The sequence below is a fragment of the Homo sapiens genome, chromosome 6 (assembly GCF_000001405.40).
Source record: "Homo sapiens chromosome 6, GRCh38.p14 Primary Assembly".
NCBI lineage: Eukaryota > Metazoa > Chordata > Mammalia > Primates > Hominidae > Homo > Homo sapiens.
Genome location: NC_000006.12, coordinates 121,671,179 through 121,688,063, shown reverse-complemented (window position 1 = coordinate 121,688,063; position 16,885 = coordinate 121,671,179). Strand labels below are relative to the sequence as shown.

Here is a 16,885-nt window from a genome sequence, read left to right as displayed (position 1 = left end):
TCCCTGGTGACAAAAATGTTGGGGACCACTGCAACCTAGAATAAAATGCCGGTATCTTGACACTGATAGCAGCTGCGACCCGAGGAGTAATTTAACCTCTCTATACTTTGAATTCTTACTTGTAAAAGGAGCCAACAATGATACTTGCATCACAGGCTTGTTTTAAGGATTAAACAAATGAATACATAATTTTAAATAAGCTTTGTATTTTGTAATAATTTTAGGTATACAGAAAAGTTGCAAAGATAATACAGAAAGTTCTCGTATACCTGTCATCCTGTTTCCCTGAACGTTACCCTCTTACATTACCATGGCACATTTGACAAAACTAAGAAACCAACAGTGATACATTGCAATTAACCAAACTCCAGATTTTATACAGATTTTTCCTGTTTTTCCACTAATACTCTTTTTCCATTTCAGGATTCAATCCAGGATTCCACACTGCACTTATGAAATGCACATTTTATTTTTTGAAACATTTAGAACTGTGTCTGGCACACAGTAAGCACCTGCAAAATGTCACTTAATCCTTATTAGATGATTTTCATGCAAGCGAGATGGAATGTTTCTAACAATGTCATATATTAACAAGAATTTATTCCCAATTACTTACACTGATTCTGTTGCAAAGAAATCAATTAATATAAAATAAGGGGTCATTTATCTTCAGAATAAAATCAACTATATGCTAATTGCTCTCAAAAAAGGGAGTTCATCTCTAGGATATCTTCTAAAGGTAAGAAAAACAAATCATGTCTTAGTGGTTTAACTCCATTAACTGACTTCTTCATTCAACAAAAATTTTTTGAGTGCCTGCAATACACCAGGCAGTGTGCCATGGGCTGAGGTACAGGGATGAACAAATCAGACTTAGTCCTTTTTTCAAGTGAAATGTATATATTTTTTCATAATCTTAAGCAACTGATGTAGAATCTGATTGACCCCACCATGAAGCATAAAGCCTTGAATCCCTCACTAAACACAACCTGCAATGTTCACTCAGAAGCAGTGATTGAAGTTAGCTGAAAGAAGGAGATAATCGCAGTTCACTTTGGCTACTATCGCTCACATATGCAGGATCCAAGTGAGAGGTGACAGCGTGCTGGCAGTCCTCACACCCCTCACTCGCTCTCGGCACCTCCTCTGCCTGGGCTCCCACTTTGGCGGCACTTGACGAGCCCTTCAGCTTGCCGCTGCACTGTGGGAGCCCCTTTCTGGGCAGGCCAAGGCCGGGGCCGGCTCCCTCAGCTTGCGGGGGTTGTGGAGGGAGAGGCCCAGGCGGGAACCGGGGCTGCGTGCGGTGCTTGCGCGCCAGCGCAAGTTCCGGGTGGGCGTGGTCTCGGCGGGCCTGCACTCAGAGCGGCCGGCGGCCGGCCCCGCCCACCCTGGTCAGTGAGGGGCTTAGCACCCCGGCCAGCAGCTGCTGTGCTCAATTTCTCGCCAGGCCTTAGCTGCCTTCCCTCGGAGCAGGGCTCAGGACTTGCAGCCCGCCATGCCTGAGCCTCCCCCAACTCCGTGGGCTCCTGTGCAGCCTGATCCTCCCCGACGAGCACCGCCCCCTGCTCCACAGCGCCCAGTCCCATCGACCACCCAAGGGCTGAGGAGTGCGGGCGCAGGGCACGGGACTGGCAGGCAGCTCCACCTGCAGCCCCAGTGCGGGATCCACTGGATGAAGCCAGCTGGGCTCCTGAGTCTGGTGAGGACTTGGAGAACCTTTATGTCTAGCTAAGGGATTATAAATACACCAATGGGCACTCTGTATCTAGCTCAAGGTTTGTAAACACACCAATCAGCACCCTGTGTCTAGCTCAGGGTTTGTGAATGCACCAATCCACACTGTGTATCTAGCTACTCTGGTGGAGACTTGGAGAACCTTTGTGTGGACACTCTGTATCTAGCTAATCTGGTGGGGAGGTGGAGAACCTTTGTGTCTAGCTCAGGGATTATAAACGCACCAATCAGTGCCCTATCAAAACAGACCACTCAGCTCTACCAATCAGCAGGATGTGGGTAGGGCCAAATAAGACAATAAAAGCAGGCTGCGGGAGCCAGCAGTGGCAACCCGCTTGGGTCCCCTACCACGCTGTGGAAGCTTTGTTCTTTCACTCTTTGCAATAAATCTGGCTGCTTCTCACTCTTTGGGTCCACACTGCCTTTATGAGCTGTAACACTCATCGCGAAGGTCTGCAGCTTCACTCCTGAAGCCAGCAAGCCCACAGACCCACCGGGAGGAACGAACAACTCTAGACGCACCGCCTTAAGAGTTGTAACACTCGGCTCACGCCTGTAATCCCAGCACTTTGGGAGGCCGAGGCGGGCGGATCACGAGGTCAGGAGATCGAGACCATCCTGGCTAACACGGTGAAACCCCGTCTCTACTAAAAATACAAAAAATTAGCCGGGCGTGGTAGCGGGCGCCTGTAGTCCCAGCTACTCGGGAGGCTGAGGCAGGAGAATGGCGTGAACCCGGGAGGCGGAGCTTGCAGTGAGCCGAGATCGCGCCACTGCACTCCAGCCTGGGCGACAGAGCGAGACTCCGTCTCAAAAAAAAAAAAAAAAAGAGTTGTAACACTCACCGTGAAGGTCCGCAGCTTCACTCCTGAGCCAGCGAGAGGACGAACCCACCAGAAGGAAGAAACTCCGAACACATCCGAACATCAGAAGGAACAAACTCCGGACACGCCGCCTTTAAGAGCTGTAACACTCACCGCGAGGGTCCATGGCTTCATTCTTGAAGTCAGTGAGACCAAGAACCCACCAATTCTAGACACACAAGAACTTAGATGAAGATAAGCGTTCAAGGAAAACCTGCGCGTGGCTGCAGACACGTTCATTCCAATCGCTCTGGGGTTTCTTCCTTGCTGATGATGTTAATGATCTTATGCTAGGCATTGTGCTCATGGCTTCACATATATTAATTCAAGGAAATCTCACAACTACCATATGAAGTAGATATTATTCCCCAATTTATAGATGAAAAGATGAGGCAAAGTGATCTGATGCAAGAAAAATAGGAAGGAAGACACAAAAAATCCTTTTGTATTTTCACAACTTTATGAGTACCAAGACAGATATTGCCCTGAACATAAATAATAAAAACAGCTTTTTTTTCTGACTTTAAAATGATTATTCTTTAAAAATTTGGTTGCTTTTTATGTGGCTATACAAAGTTCTTAATGTTTCTTTGGCAATGGAATATAGTGGAATTTTACAACTATATAAAAAAGTTACCTTTGCCTAAGAAACAGTATTTACTGTGTGTACCTAGTTAACTGAAAATTCTCTACTGAAAATTCTCTACCATCCAGCACCCTAAATAATTGATGAAATAAGCTACCTCATATTATAGGATTCCCCAAAAAAGGAGAAAGATACAGACATGCACACACACACCCTTCTGTGGCCCAAAACACAGTATCACAGCCCTATCTGCAGGCCACTTGCAATTGACAAATATGATTTAGTAATTTAAAAAATACACTTTCAGTGATGAAAAAATATAAGTCCCACTGAAGTACTGCTTAACTGTACATAAGAAATTACTTAACCTTCTGCTATTCCAAATATATTTTATGTTCATTTTTTAAGATTAGGCTTTCTCCCCTGCAACCCCAAAAAGTAACTGCATTTTATCTTTGAAATTAAGCAGAAAAACAAACAAAAAACAAAAACCCAGTGCTGTTGACAAATGTACAGTGAATTCACTTGATTCTTCACAAAGACTGAAATCAATTTTCAGGACCATGAAGAGCTAAAAATTCACCTATTTTTAGAGACTTGTTTGTAGACTATACAGCAACTTTGTTGTCTTTCCTACATTAGAAATCCGAAAACTCCCTGCCCCCAGGACCTCCTCTGAATCCACTGCGAAATCCTCCAGGGATGGTTAAAGTACCACATCTGCTACCACCATGCCCTCTGCCACCACAGAAACCGAAGATCCCTCTGCCTCTGCGTCTCCCACAGCCACGATTTGGACAAAGTGGGATTCCAAATGTTTCAGCATTTAATCTTCTTTCTTCAGCCCAGGTTGATATCCGTTCCCTATTGTCATCACAAGAAATATTATCAAAGAAGGATTTAGTTTTTTCCTACTAGCAGTTAGGTCCAAGTGGATCTTCTTCATCAGCACTTCCTTTACTTTTGGGGTATCAACTCCTGGGTCACCTTTATCTTCACCATTTACAGGCTCCTCCTGTTTCTCAGTTTATCTTCTTTTAAGTTTATTATGAAACTCTCTGTCGATCTCTCCCTTGTTGAATTGTGCATTTGCACTTTCAAAGTCAAAGTCTTTCTCAAATTTCATTGGCCCATCTCGCAGAATACGAAATCTTCCCCTGCTACCCGGCTGAACCCCACGCCCTCTCCTTGGAGCTGAAGGAGTACCTGGAGCTACTTGTCTCTTGCTATCATTTCTGAGTTGCTCATTTTCTGGTCTTGAAACATTGTGTACTTCAGCTCACCAGTGCTCTTGATCTCTATTGCCTAGTTGATACAGGGCTCCTTCTCCCAACAGGTGCTGGAGCAGGTAAATGGGCCGAGACAGTCTTCACTGCTTGTTCAGTGGTTGGGCTTTTTCTCAAAGGGTCTAACTGAGGGCTTGAGTGACCTTGAGATAACTGTGTTTTTAGAGATCTTGTATCCTGTGTTAAGGCAGAGTCAACCATACTACTTTGGGGTAAGACACCACTGTTTGATGTTTCTGTTCCAAACGATATCAAAGAGCTTCCAGCAACAGCAACGGCACCAAACTCCTGCCCAACTAAGGAGCTTGGACTGAACCGACTGTATATGAGCATCCTGCCCAAAGGCCCATGAGAACCCCACGCACCAGAATGAAGAAGTTGATGAGCCTAGTGAGGACTGAAGGATAGCTGGGTCTTCAGGCAAAGAACACTGTGGTTTTGGTGGCTCACAGTGAGGTCTTTAATGTCACTCCTATGGAATACAATGTATTACAATAGTTCATCTTGAGGTGGTATTGGACGATCTATCTTCTGTACCAGAAAATTGAATTTTAGCGAGGGCTACGGTGGGGTTCTACGTGTCGATGGTGCAGAGGATGCCCTCGTAGCAGATCTGTGCCTTGGAGATGTGGCTGATCTTGCTGTGGAGGAAAGGGGTGACCCCGCTCATGGTGCCACCGCAGCTCCCGGCGCTCGCAGAGCGGCGGACCCCAGGCGGCTGTCAGGCGATCCACAGTATCCGTCGCGCCTGTGGCAGCCGCCTCAGACCTAACATGGCGGCGCCGGCGCCAGCTCCGCTAAATCAGCTTTATTTTCACTTCATTAAAAGAAAAATTGAAAACTCCAAAGAACGATCTTGACTTCTAAAATCTGAAAAACGATATCCTTTAGGACTTAAATCTTGGATTGTTTTCTAAGATGCCTCAAATAACTGCTGAGCAAACTTATGTCTAAATTATTGCTGTCTTCACAATTCAGTAAAACCAATAGTAATTAAAGCATCTATTACTGCGTAGGCCCCTGCGGTGTGCTACATCAAAGACAAATATGAATAAGCCAGTCCCTCCCTCAGAGACCTTACACTGTAATAGATGCATTTCATTTTATTTTACATATGAGTGACTAAAAAAATGTGTTGAATTGAAATAAACACATCCTCAAATAGCTAAAGTGCAAAGTGGAACAAGGTTGGTACCACTAGAAACATACAAGCACAATGCTATGGGAAGATAAAGATAAAAGAAACAGAGGAATTCTGCCTGGCTAGAAGTTGAAGGAAGGCTTTATGTGTAAGGTAGCATTCGAAAATTAAGCTCTGTGTTAACAAGTTGAGGCAGATGATAGGGAAGGAAAGTCCTCATAAAAGGAAAAGCATTGATGAAGGCAAAAAGTTAGGAAATCACAAAGTTAGTCCTAGGAATACCAACCACACCAGTGTGGCTGAGATTCACATTACTGCGAGAGGGTCAGAGCATGGTAGGCCCGTATTTGGATGGACTTGTGTGCCAGGATGAGAATATTGTACTTTATACAGCAGAAAATGGCAAACTCGTAAGGATTTTTGGTAGAGAATTGACATAGCTAATACTGTACTTCGGGAAGATTGATTCATAGGTGTTACCATGGAATTCATCGTGGGAGAGACAAGAGGTAGGAACATCAATTACATTTCATTATATTATGCAAGGACTGCCTGAAACAAGGGTAAGGAAGAAGAAATAGAAGAGAAAAGATGGATGCATTGATGGGGTAATTGACCTAGGAACTAGAAGAAAATAAGAGACCCTTGAGATGCTTAAAGAGACAGTATGACTGAGGAAATGGTTCTGTTACTAACAGAGTCTGGAAACTCATGGAAAAAAAGGAGGATGTTTTTGAAGATGTGATGAGTTTGATTTTCAACACATTAGGAAGAAATACAAAGGGCCATGTTTTCTTAGAAGAGAGACTGAGCCTGGGCACGTTGCAGTAAAGTGGGAAAGACTGAAAACAAAGACCCAACCCTGAAAGGGAGACTTACATTTAGAAATTAGGAAGAGGATGAGGACAAAAGAGATCAAACAAACAAAAAAAGATGAAGACCAGAGAGGAAGCAGGAGAACCAAGAAAAATGTTGTATTGTGAAAACCAAGATAGCTAGAATTTCAAGAAAGCAAAATTAAACCATAGCATAAGAAGTTTCAGGAGTATGAAAGCCAGTTGCCTTATTTAAAATGTCAACTTGTTTTGTTCCACTACGGTTTGTGGGATACTGCTTCATTTAAACAATTTCCCAGGCAAAATTAAAGAAAAAAAATACTTTGAAAATCAAAAAATAAATTGATTAAAAAACTTTCAGCTGATCTGTAAAACTCTATTAAGCAATGATTTGATAAAGGTACACATCACATATGTATTAGAAAGCTTATTGATAAAATATTTTGTTGGAAAAAAATCATTTATTGTCTTAGAGATTTGGAGAAAATATGTTTGCAGTTATTCCATTACAAGGCCTAATTGCAATTTGCCTTCATCCTGGGGGCTGGAAAGAATAATTTTTGAATTAGAACTTATTTCTATTTCAGTATGGTTATTTGGTGGCCTTCTAGTTCTCTCATTTTAAACTTTTAAAATGCAAGGGTTTGCCAAATTAAGCCTTCCTGCTACCAGAAACTTAATAGTCAAAAGAAGATTGAAATTACTCGGAGGGATGAAGTTTCTTCAGACATTAAGCAATTAGCATGTCTTTGAAAGACTCACGATCTAAGCACAAACAATATAGGTTTTAAAAAATGAATTAACTAGACAGAAAGATGAATAAGACTGAGAGCTACCAATTTAAAACTTTCTATACTGTGATACAGTTCCAAATGCCAGACCATTCCAAATTAGAGTACCTAAGTAGTCACTTATCTAGCAATTTACTTTTTGTTATACAAATAGAGATGGCAAACAGACACAGGTGGGAATTTCTTCATCTTCAATGTTGGTCCCACTCCCACCCCACCCAACCCCTTGAACTGTTGATAAGACCAGGAGTAAGAGAATAAAAAAAGACACGTTCCTATATCTTGAGTTGAAACTAGGAATGCATTTTTTTAAAAGCAGTCGTAGATTTAAAAAAAAAAAAAAAAAGCATTGGACCCTTATCACAAGATGGCGCTGAAAGCGAAGAAGGAATTTCCTTCGGCTTTAGTTCTTCCTAAAGCCGAAGCCAAAGTGAAGGCTTTAAAGGCCAAGAAGGCAGTGTTGAAAGGTGTCCATAGCCACAAAAAAGAAAAAAAAAAAAGAAAAAAAAAGAAGATCCTCATGTCACCCACCTTCCGGCAGCCCAAGATACTGTGACTCCGGAGGCAGCCCAAATATCCTTGGAAGAGCGCCCCCAGGTGAAACAAGCTTGACCACTATGCTATCATCAAGTTTCTGCTGACCGCTGAGTCTGCCATGAAGAAGACAGAAGACAACAACACACTTGTGTTCATTGTGGATGTTAAAGCCAACAAGCACCGGATCAAACAGGCTATGAAGAAGCTCTATGACATTGATGTGGCCAAGGTCAACACCCTGATTTGAAGAAGGCATATGTTCAACTGGCTCCTGATATCAATGCTTTGGAAGTTGCCAACAAAATTGGGATAATTTAAAATGAGTCTAGCTTGCTAGTTCTAAGTGTATATATATATATATATACACACACATATATATGTATATATGTATACACACATATATATACACATATATATGTGTATATATATATGTGTATACATATATACATATATATACACATATATATGTGTATATATATATGTGTATATATATATACATATATATATACTTTTCACCATAAAAAAAGCATTACAAATATTCCTTTTCATGGGCACTTGGATTAAAAAGATTTTCTGTACTAAATAATATTGAGAGTCAAATGGGCTATAAAATTTTATCTATTAAAAATAAATATTGAATTCAAAATGAAAGAACTGCAAGGAACTTTCTAAAATATAGTATAGTCATCCTTTCATATCTTCGGGGAATTGGTTCCAGGACATCCCTGCCAATATCAAAATCCATGGATGCTCAAGTCCCTGATATAAAATGTTGTACTTTATGCATATAACCTATACAATCCTTCTATATACTTTAAATCATCTCTAGATTACTTATGATACCTAACACAATATAAATGCTATATAAATAGTTGTCATACTGTATTGTTTAGAAAATAATGACATGAAAGTCTATGTGACCATCCATTTTTTTCCCAAACATTTTCAGCCTACAGTTGTTTGAATGCATGGGTGCAGAACCCACAGATATGGACAGCAGACTGTATGTTCTTGAACTAAAGACTATGAACTGAATATTTATATACATCTATAGGTTTATATATGCATATACAGAAAATTGATCAATGTTTTTATATTAAAAAATAGCATATTTTCTTTTTTCTTTTTTTTTTTTTTTTTGCGGACAGAGTCTCTCTCTGTTGCCCAGGCTACAGTGCAGTGGCACAATCTTGGCTCACTAGCAAACTCCACCTCCTGAGTTCAAGTGATTCTCCTGCCTCAGCCTCCTGAGTAGCTGGGACTACAGGTGCATTAGCCACCACGCCTGGCTAATTTTTGTATTTTTAGTAGAAACAGGGTTTCACCATGTTGGCCAGGCTGGTCTTGAACTCCTGACCTCAGGTGATCCACCTGCCTCGACCTTCCAAAGTGCTGGAATTACAAGCATGAGCCACAGGGCCTGCCCAGAAAATAGCATATTTTCTTATATCTTTCCCTACATCACTGTGGAAATTAGTGCTTATGAAAGAGGTGTATTTTATGAAATTGATACAATATGATAAATTTCCTGGAGAATAATACATAATATGAAAATCTTTGGAAAAATTAGGAATATTGTATTTCAGAAGATTCTAAATCTTTGGAAACAGTGAATTGGTTGTAGCAACCAAGGCAAATCTGGTATATGCTCTTTTGCTTTATGGTCATTGAAACCAAGGAAGAGAGGACTTAGTTTTAATTTGTATATACAGTAGCTTTAAAAAGATAAAGAGAAACTTTTTCTACTACTTGAAGCCCTCTGTATTCTGAAACTTATTCATCAGTGGCCTCTAACTCTATTTGACTCATGCTTTTGTCTCATTATTACACTGATTTCTTGGGAGTGCTGTCAACCCTTTTTACTAAGACATTCCTCTGAATACCCATAGCACTGATAAGTATCATAAGAGAAAATTTAAGAAATGAGAACCAGGTTCTTCTAGCATCCCTTCTTGACACTCTAGACTGTTCTTTGAGGTAAGATATTTCCTCACAGAACATAAGATATGTCATTTAGTTAAGCGGGTCTTATTAATGCTATTGAAAGTGTGTTAGGGAAACAATACTTTCCATTCAACAGAACCAAAAACCCTCTTGTGTGACCGATCGAGACTTAACTATACTTATTTTAATGGCTTCTTGTTATTATTTACTATGCCGGTATATAAGACAAGCAGCAAAGTGATACTGATCATAGACTAGTAATAGAATACAGCTTAATCAGGTAGCTGCCACAATCACAGTATTTCCTTGAAAGGGTGGGATGGAATTCATTTGTAAGGATTTTCCCAGATCACGTAAATCATACTTCTTCAAACCACATTCTCCTTAGAAACACACACACACACACACACAAATTTTACTAACCGTGGTCTGTTTAAAATGAACTACAATTTAAAGCTGCATTATGTAATCTCTACATTTATTTCACATGTTCAAACCATGCCTCCCTGGTCTGTGATCCAAAGCAGGAAGGTGGTTGATGACTATGGAATCCATTAGCCTTTCTGATTCCATGTGCTTACATTGCAGATTAGCTATGGTTCTGAAACTTCCAGTTTCAATGGAAACCACTGGATTGTGTGTCTGTGTACAGGGGAACAGAATAGGGTATTTCAGAGAAAATTTCATCAGTTCTTGTTGGAACTGGCTAAAAACAGTGGGACTTTTCCACTTGTTCTTTGTCTTTTATGTTTTCCCATATCACAGTTCCTCTCTGCACTACCATACGCCTTCTCTTTTCCCCATGATCCTTTGCAATAATACCTCCAAATGTATCTACCCTTGGAAATTTAAGAAAGTTCCTGCTTTTTTACTGAGTTCCTTCTATAACTTGATGAAAAAATAAAAGGAGATCAATTTAAGGCAACTAATTTATACTATCAAGTAGCTTCTCTTTCTATTACAAGCTAATTTTAATAAAAAGGAAGTTTGTAACTAAAAAACATTAAACAGAGTTTCTAAGATTCACCTTTATTTCTCTAAATTATGTGTGTTCCCTAATTAAAAGGAAAATACATTGGTCCATGTTACCTCTTGGCACAGGCACTAAATCAAAAACAGTTCTAAAGTTGATTCAAGGAACTTTGAAGGAAAGAGTGTAGTAAATTTAGAAGCAATATACTACAATTTGTCTTATATTCCTTCAAGTTCTCATCTTCACAGTGTTGTGAGAGGGCTTAATAGCACACATTCAGAGCATACTTTTCCTGAGATGATGTTCTGATCACCAAAGATTTAAGCCTGATTTTACAGTTGGTAGTTTGTCACCTTTTGCAGTGAATCTATAGTAAATCTAACAAATCTCTTGTTTTGAAACCTATCCATGTTCTCTTCCACAAGTTAAACATACCCATCTTCATTTAAAAGAAAAAAAGTATCAAGGAATACCTCCTTTTTTTACACTCATTGGTCCTCCCAGAAACGGAAGTTCCACTCTGTCATTTGTGCATTTCACTATGGGTCTCATTCACATGGAGAAGAGTAGTCCTTTCCCCTCCATCACAGCAATGGGCTTGGTCAGACATAAAGTGGGATTTAGTCAGAAGAGCAGGAAGACAGATGAGACATGAAAGTAACTGGTAAAATATCAATGTTCACTCTAACTTTAAGGGGAAGCATTAACTACAGAGAAAAGCTAACAAAAAATCAGAAAATTGTTCCAAAAAATGAAAAGCAACACTACACTGCAATTTCAAGCATTTGCCACACAATCTATAAAATAGAGGCAGGGCTTTGTTGTTTATTTGTTGAAGAGGAAACTATCAAAGGTAAGGCTTGTGAAGGGAGAGAGCTGAATGGGGCAGTTAAACTTTCAAAAATGAGCTAAAACGTGGCTGTATTCTGCCTCTTTCTTAACTGAGCCCTTCCTCTGGGCAACATGACCTGTAGGACATGTATACGGAGCTTTAGATGAGGGAAAAGAGAATAATTTTTTTATCCTCTCTATGTGATCTATGCCAGTTAGGATTTTTTTGTTACATGAGACAGAAATTCCAGCACAAACCAGCTTAAGTAAAAAAGAGTGAGGCCAGGTGCAGTGGCTCACACCTGTAATCCCAGCAATTTGGGAGGCCGAGGCAGGAGGATGGCTTGAGCCCAGGCGTTTGAGACCTGCCTGGGCAACATGGTGAAACTCTGTCTCTACAAAAATAAAAAAATTAGCCAGATGTGGTGACTTATTGTAAAGTCAAATGTTTTGTCATAGAACCCTGTTATCAAGAAGGACTTAAAATATTCATTGACTTTAGAGTTTCACTTTATCAGCATTAGATACTAATTTTTTAGTCACCAGTAGTTTTGATGGTGATAGGTGACTGTTGCTAAATAGGGCTACCAAATATCAGAACATTTTCTTTATAATATTCTATATGCTAAATAATAGCTAAAAATTAATGAACAGGTAAAGGGATAGCAACAAAGTATGGACACTTATTAATCTTATGTTTGCATTCTCAGCAATTCCTAGTCTCTCCCTCTGATATAACATTAACCACTTCACTACTCTTTTCATGATTTTCTTGATTTATAGAAGTCAAAAGTAATCTAATCTTTTTCTACATTCTGGGCAATATAAGAGCCTTAAATTTTAACTCATTTATTCTTTGGCTTTCTTTAGCATCAGCTTTTAAGTTAACAGGAAACATTCTTCTGTTATCTTAAGCTTGGCTCACTCCTGGCTTTACTAGTCTGGCTTTACTAGTTAATATAAACATGGAATCCTCCTATCTCGGGGGAAATGGAAGTTTGATGTTAATTACTAAAGAAGTTTTCTTTTTCTTTTTTTTTAAGTTTGAGACAGGGTCTTGCTCTGTTGCCCAGGTGGGAGAGCAGTGGCATGATCAAGGCTTACTACAGCCTCAACCTCCCAGGCTCAAGCAGTCCCCCTACTTCAGTCTCCTGAGTAGCTGGGACTATGGGCATGCACCACCACGCTCTGCTAAAATTTTAGATTTTGTACGAGTTCTCACTATGCTGCCCAGGCTGGTTTTGAACTCTGGGCTCAAGCGATCCTCCCTCCTTGGCCTCTCAAAATGTTGCAAGTACAGGCATGAGCCACTGTGCCTGGCATCTTGTTTTATTTTTTCTATATGAGTCTGAATCATTCTAAAACCAGGGTAAAGGGCCATGAAACTTGCTTACAAAAAATGTTCTCTGGTTAGTACGAAAGACAACAGCCAAAAACAGAATAAAAGTACTATAAGAAATGATCTTGTTCTCACCAGAGTTGGGTTTTGCTCTTCATTTGGTGACCATTTAAAGACATTGATTACGTCTCTATTTCATAAATGGGCAGTCACTTCTTTGTCTTGAAGTGTCCATGTGTTATATATGTTTCATTTTAAACTTGTGGAGGAAAGGTGAAATGATGGCTCCGTGTGGTTGCTACTGTTTTTGTCTCCCAGCACCCACACTTTCCTCTTATTAGAGTCTGATACTATTTATGCTTTTGTTCATACTCAGCAAAATGCTGAATAGTTTCATATTTAGGTTTTGCAGAACTCTGACTTGTGAGTAGTTGTCCTTCAGTAATTAATAACTAGGACATACTGATTTCATAACATTATATGCTTCTATTTTATTTTGTATATCAAAGGCTTTTCTATGTTTCTTCATAATCAACTCATAAAAGCTGAGTGAAAAAAAACCATGGTGACTTCCAGGAATAATTTTTAAAAACATTAAAAAACATGAATATCATGAAAATAAAGAATAAGTAAATATCAAAGTTGTATTTAACTCATGAATTAGGGGAACAGGGTGGTAAGCTGGCTTAAAGAACATTTGAGGAACTAAGTAATGATATGCATTGAACAAAAAGACTGATAGGTTAGAGACAAACATCGTTAATAAACTAAAGGGCAATAAAACCATATCCTTTGGGGTTATAATTTCAACCAGGTAGAAATTATCTGCCTCTCTACCAGATAATATTTACAAGGTACCATATAATATCATAGAGTTTGGGCTCTAATTAGTAATAAAGGGTATATCAAGGAAAGGGTCATTGTACTAGATTTTAATAATTGTTGGGTGACCCTATTAAACAATGCTCCAGTGTGACATTGAAAGGTCATGTAATCATCCTTTTACATTATTTCGAAGTTTTTCATATTTTTTTTCTGAACAGCAATAATGCTGTTCACGGTGCTGGGGAACATAGTCACTGTTGATAGAGGCCCTGATAAAAGGTATACGGAAGTGCACTATTGCTTTTCTCCTAAGCATTGCATTAGCATAGGGTAAATATGTGGAATTTATGTAATCAAGTTTCTATAACCATAGAAAGGCATTATAGTATAATGGCTAATAGCACACACTTATGAACCCCATTGTCAGGGTTTAAATCTTGGCTCTGTCAATAATTGGATAAATTTGGGCAAATTACTCCATCTTTCTGATTGTGCAGTGTTCCCACCTGTAAAATGGGGCTAATAACAGTGTCTGCCTTATTAGGTTGTGGTGAGAATTAAATTAGTAAATTGGTTAAAGTACACAGAACAGTGCTCAGTGCATTACAGACGCTGTATTAGTGTTTATTGCTGTGTTAACATGGAATTGCTTCTATCACTTAAAGAAACAATTTGATTTCTAGGGAAAATTATAGATAGTTTAACAGGCTGGAAGAAAACTATATAGGAAAATTACAAGAAATTTTTTAATTAATTACTCTAGAATATGCACATATTTAGGCTATGTGAAGGGAGCAAGGGGAAGGAAGGCGGGAAAATTGGTTGAGGATATAGGGAACTAAATAATGGACTATGAGTCAAAGGTGTGTACTTTGGGGTTCGGAATCTGCTGTGTAAAGTCCATCTGTGAGATTTTAAACAAATCATTTGCCCAATCTGGACCATTTAACTTGATGTTTAAAGGCATTAGTTCTTTACATAACACAAAGTGAAAATGTAGGTAAGGACATTCAGAGACAAGAAACCAAATCAAAGAGAGGATAATAGTAATCCCTGCTTTATCTACATCACGAGGCTGTTATGAACATGAAATAAAATAATATGTGTAAAAATGCTTTATAAACCATACAGCCTCATATAAATGTAAGATGATGTCTTTGTAGTTTATTCCTGTAACTACACAATATTACAAGGACATGCTTGACATAAATGAGTCAAAGGTAAACAGTATTATTTTTCCTAAGATCCCAAAATAGAGACATTTGGTGTCCCCAGTGGCAGGACGGAAATGAATTTATGTCAACTGGAGCATTATATGCACAAAAGATTAGAAGAACCACAAATCCTTTTACTACCCAGGAGAAATATGTTGCAAAATAAAATCATATTCATTTTCTTGTCTCAGCCTGAAGATGATGCTAAGAAAAAAAATGAATTTTCTACTTCATTACCTCAACTAATAATGTGTTGAGTACTAGGTGCTCTGCGTGTCCCATTGTGATGAGATAAAGAGGAATAAGAGATTGACTCTCTCCATAAGGACCCAGATTTTGCAGCAATGACAACACACAAGTAACTATAGTGGAATATTCAACTGGAGCAAAGTGAGGAGGAAAAATTATTTTGTTTTGAATAAAGGCAACATAAACATAGGATTAATTTAACTTTTGCTTAATTTTTTGTGTTAGTAGCAGTATTTTCTGTCCTTTACTAGATATTATTCACACTGAACTGCACATGAAACCCTTAATTTCCCTATCTTTACATTTTATAGTTTTTTGTTTGTTTGTTTGTTTTTGTGACAGGGCCTTCCTCTGTCACCTAGGCTGGAGTGCAGTGACATGATTAGGGCTCACTGCAGCCTTGACTTCCTGGGCTCAAGTCATACTCTCACCTCAGGCCCTCAGATAGCTAGGACTACAGGTGTGTGCCTTTTTTTAAATTTTAGTAGAGATGAGGTCTCATCACGTTGCCCAGGCTGCCCCTGCCTCTCAAAGTGCTGGGATTACAGGCATGAGCCACTGTGCCCAGCTCCATTTTATAGTTTTGTTTCTTCTTTTTTCCCTTTGTTGTTATATCTTTAAATATTAAGTAATTGAAAAATAGGAATTGAAAAAGTTTTCTGTAAAATTTTTGAATTTTTTTAATAGGATGAGATTTGTTAAGTGTAAAAAACTATGGCTTATTTAATGCTCAGTACTAAAAAGAAGAATAAAGACCTATATTTGAAGAACCAAACTGAAATATCATTGTATCTTCAGATTTTTCCAGTGATTCTATAAAACTTCCTGACCATAATAGTAAAAATTCTGGAAAAACAAACCAGTAGGTCATTATTAATTAACTAAATTATTAAACTAAACCAGAGACATACACAACAGAAAAGCCAGATCATTTCAATAAAAATAATGGGAATAAAGGGGAAGACCGTTTCTGAATTTTAGTGATTATTAAAATCAAATGGTTGTCATAACTATGTGTTTTTGTGTGTGTTTGTAAGACTCCCATAAGTATATTCTTTAATTTTCCTTGGTAGAAAATTCTCTAAACAAATAATTACTTGAAATTCCAGCACATTTCCTTCTAGTTTTTGAACTACAATATTTAGAAAGGTCAACAGTTGCCTGAGGATGGAATGTAATATTAATAAATTCCATAAACTCCAAGGAAAGGAATACTCTGGTACTGTATACAGTTTGCTAGTATTTGTTCCAGACACAGTATTATTACTGTTTATTCAGAAAAAAATTTTCCAGCAAACAAGTGGTTATCTTTAGAATAAGGATCAAGCTAATATAGTCCCACATAGCTCTGGTAAAATACCTAGATGCTATCTTTGTTGGCGTGGTAAACCTGAGAATTTTCATTCATCAGTAATATAAGTTAGTTCCATATGCCTACCTGAGATGTTGCTAAGAAATATTACTCAGTCAAAAAGTAAATTACAGGGTCATAGATATTGTCTGATTCTGTTTATATTCGAACTAAAAGAGATTAAATTTATATAATAACATGAAATGGAAACCAACATGTTTCCACTGCACCTATCTGCTGTGGAAGCTTACTTTTCTATCTTTCCAGTCCCCGAATTCACAGCAGTGAAAATATATACATACATGCATGCACATATACATATATTCATGTGTGTGTGTGTGTAAATGAATAAAATGATAAAGAGACAGATGAAAGGGGATTTTGA

The 16,885-nt window shown here is 38.6% G+C and overlaps 2 pseudogenes; one reads left to right on the top strand and one right to left on the bottom strand.

The window, feature by feature from the left end:
• On the bottom strand, positions 3,606-5,268 carry LOC100129422 (LSM14A, SCD6 homolog A (S. cerevisiae) pseudogene; annotated as a pseudogene).
• Positions 7,586-8,163, top strand: RPL23AP48 (ribosomal protein L23a pseudogene 48; annotated as a pseudogene).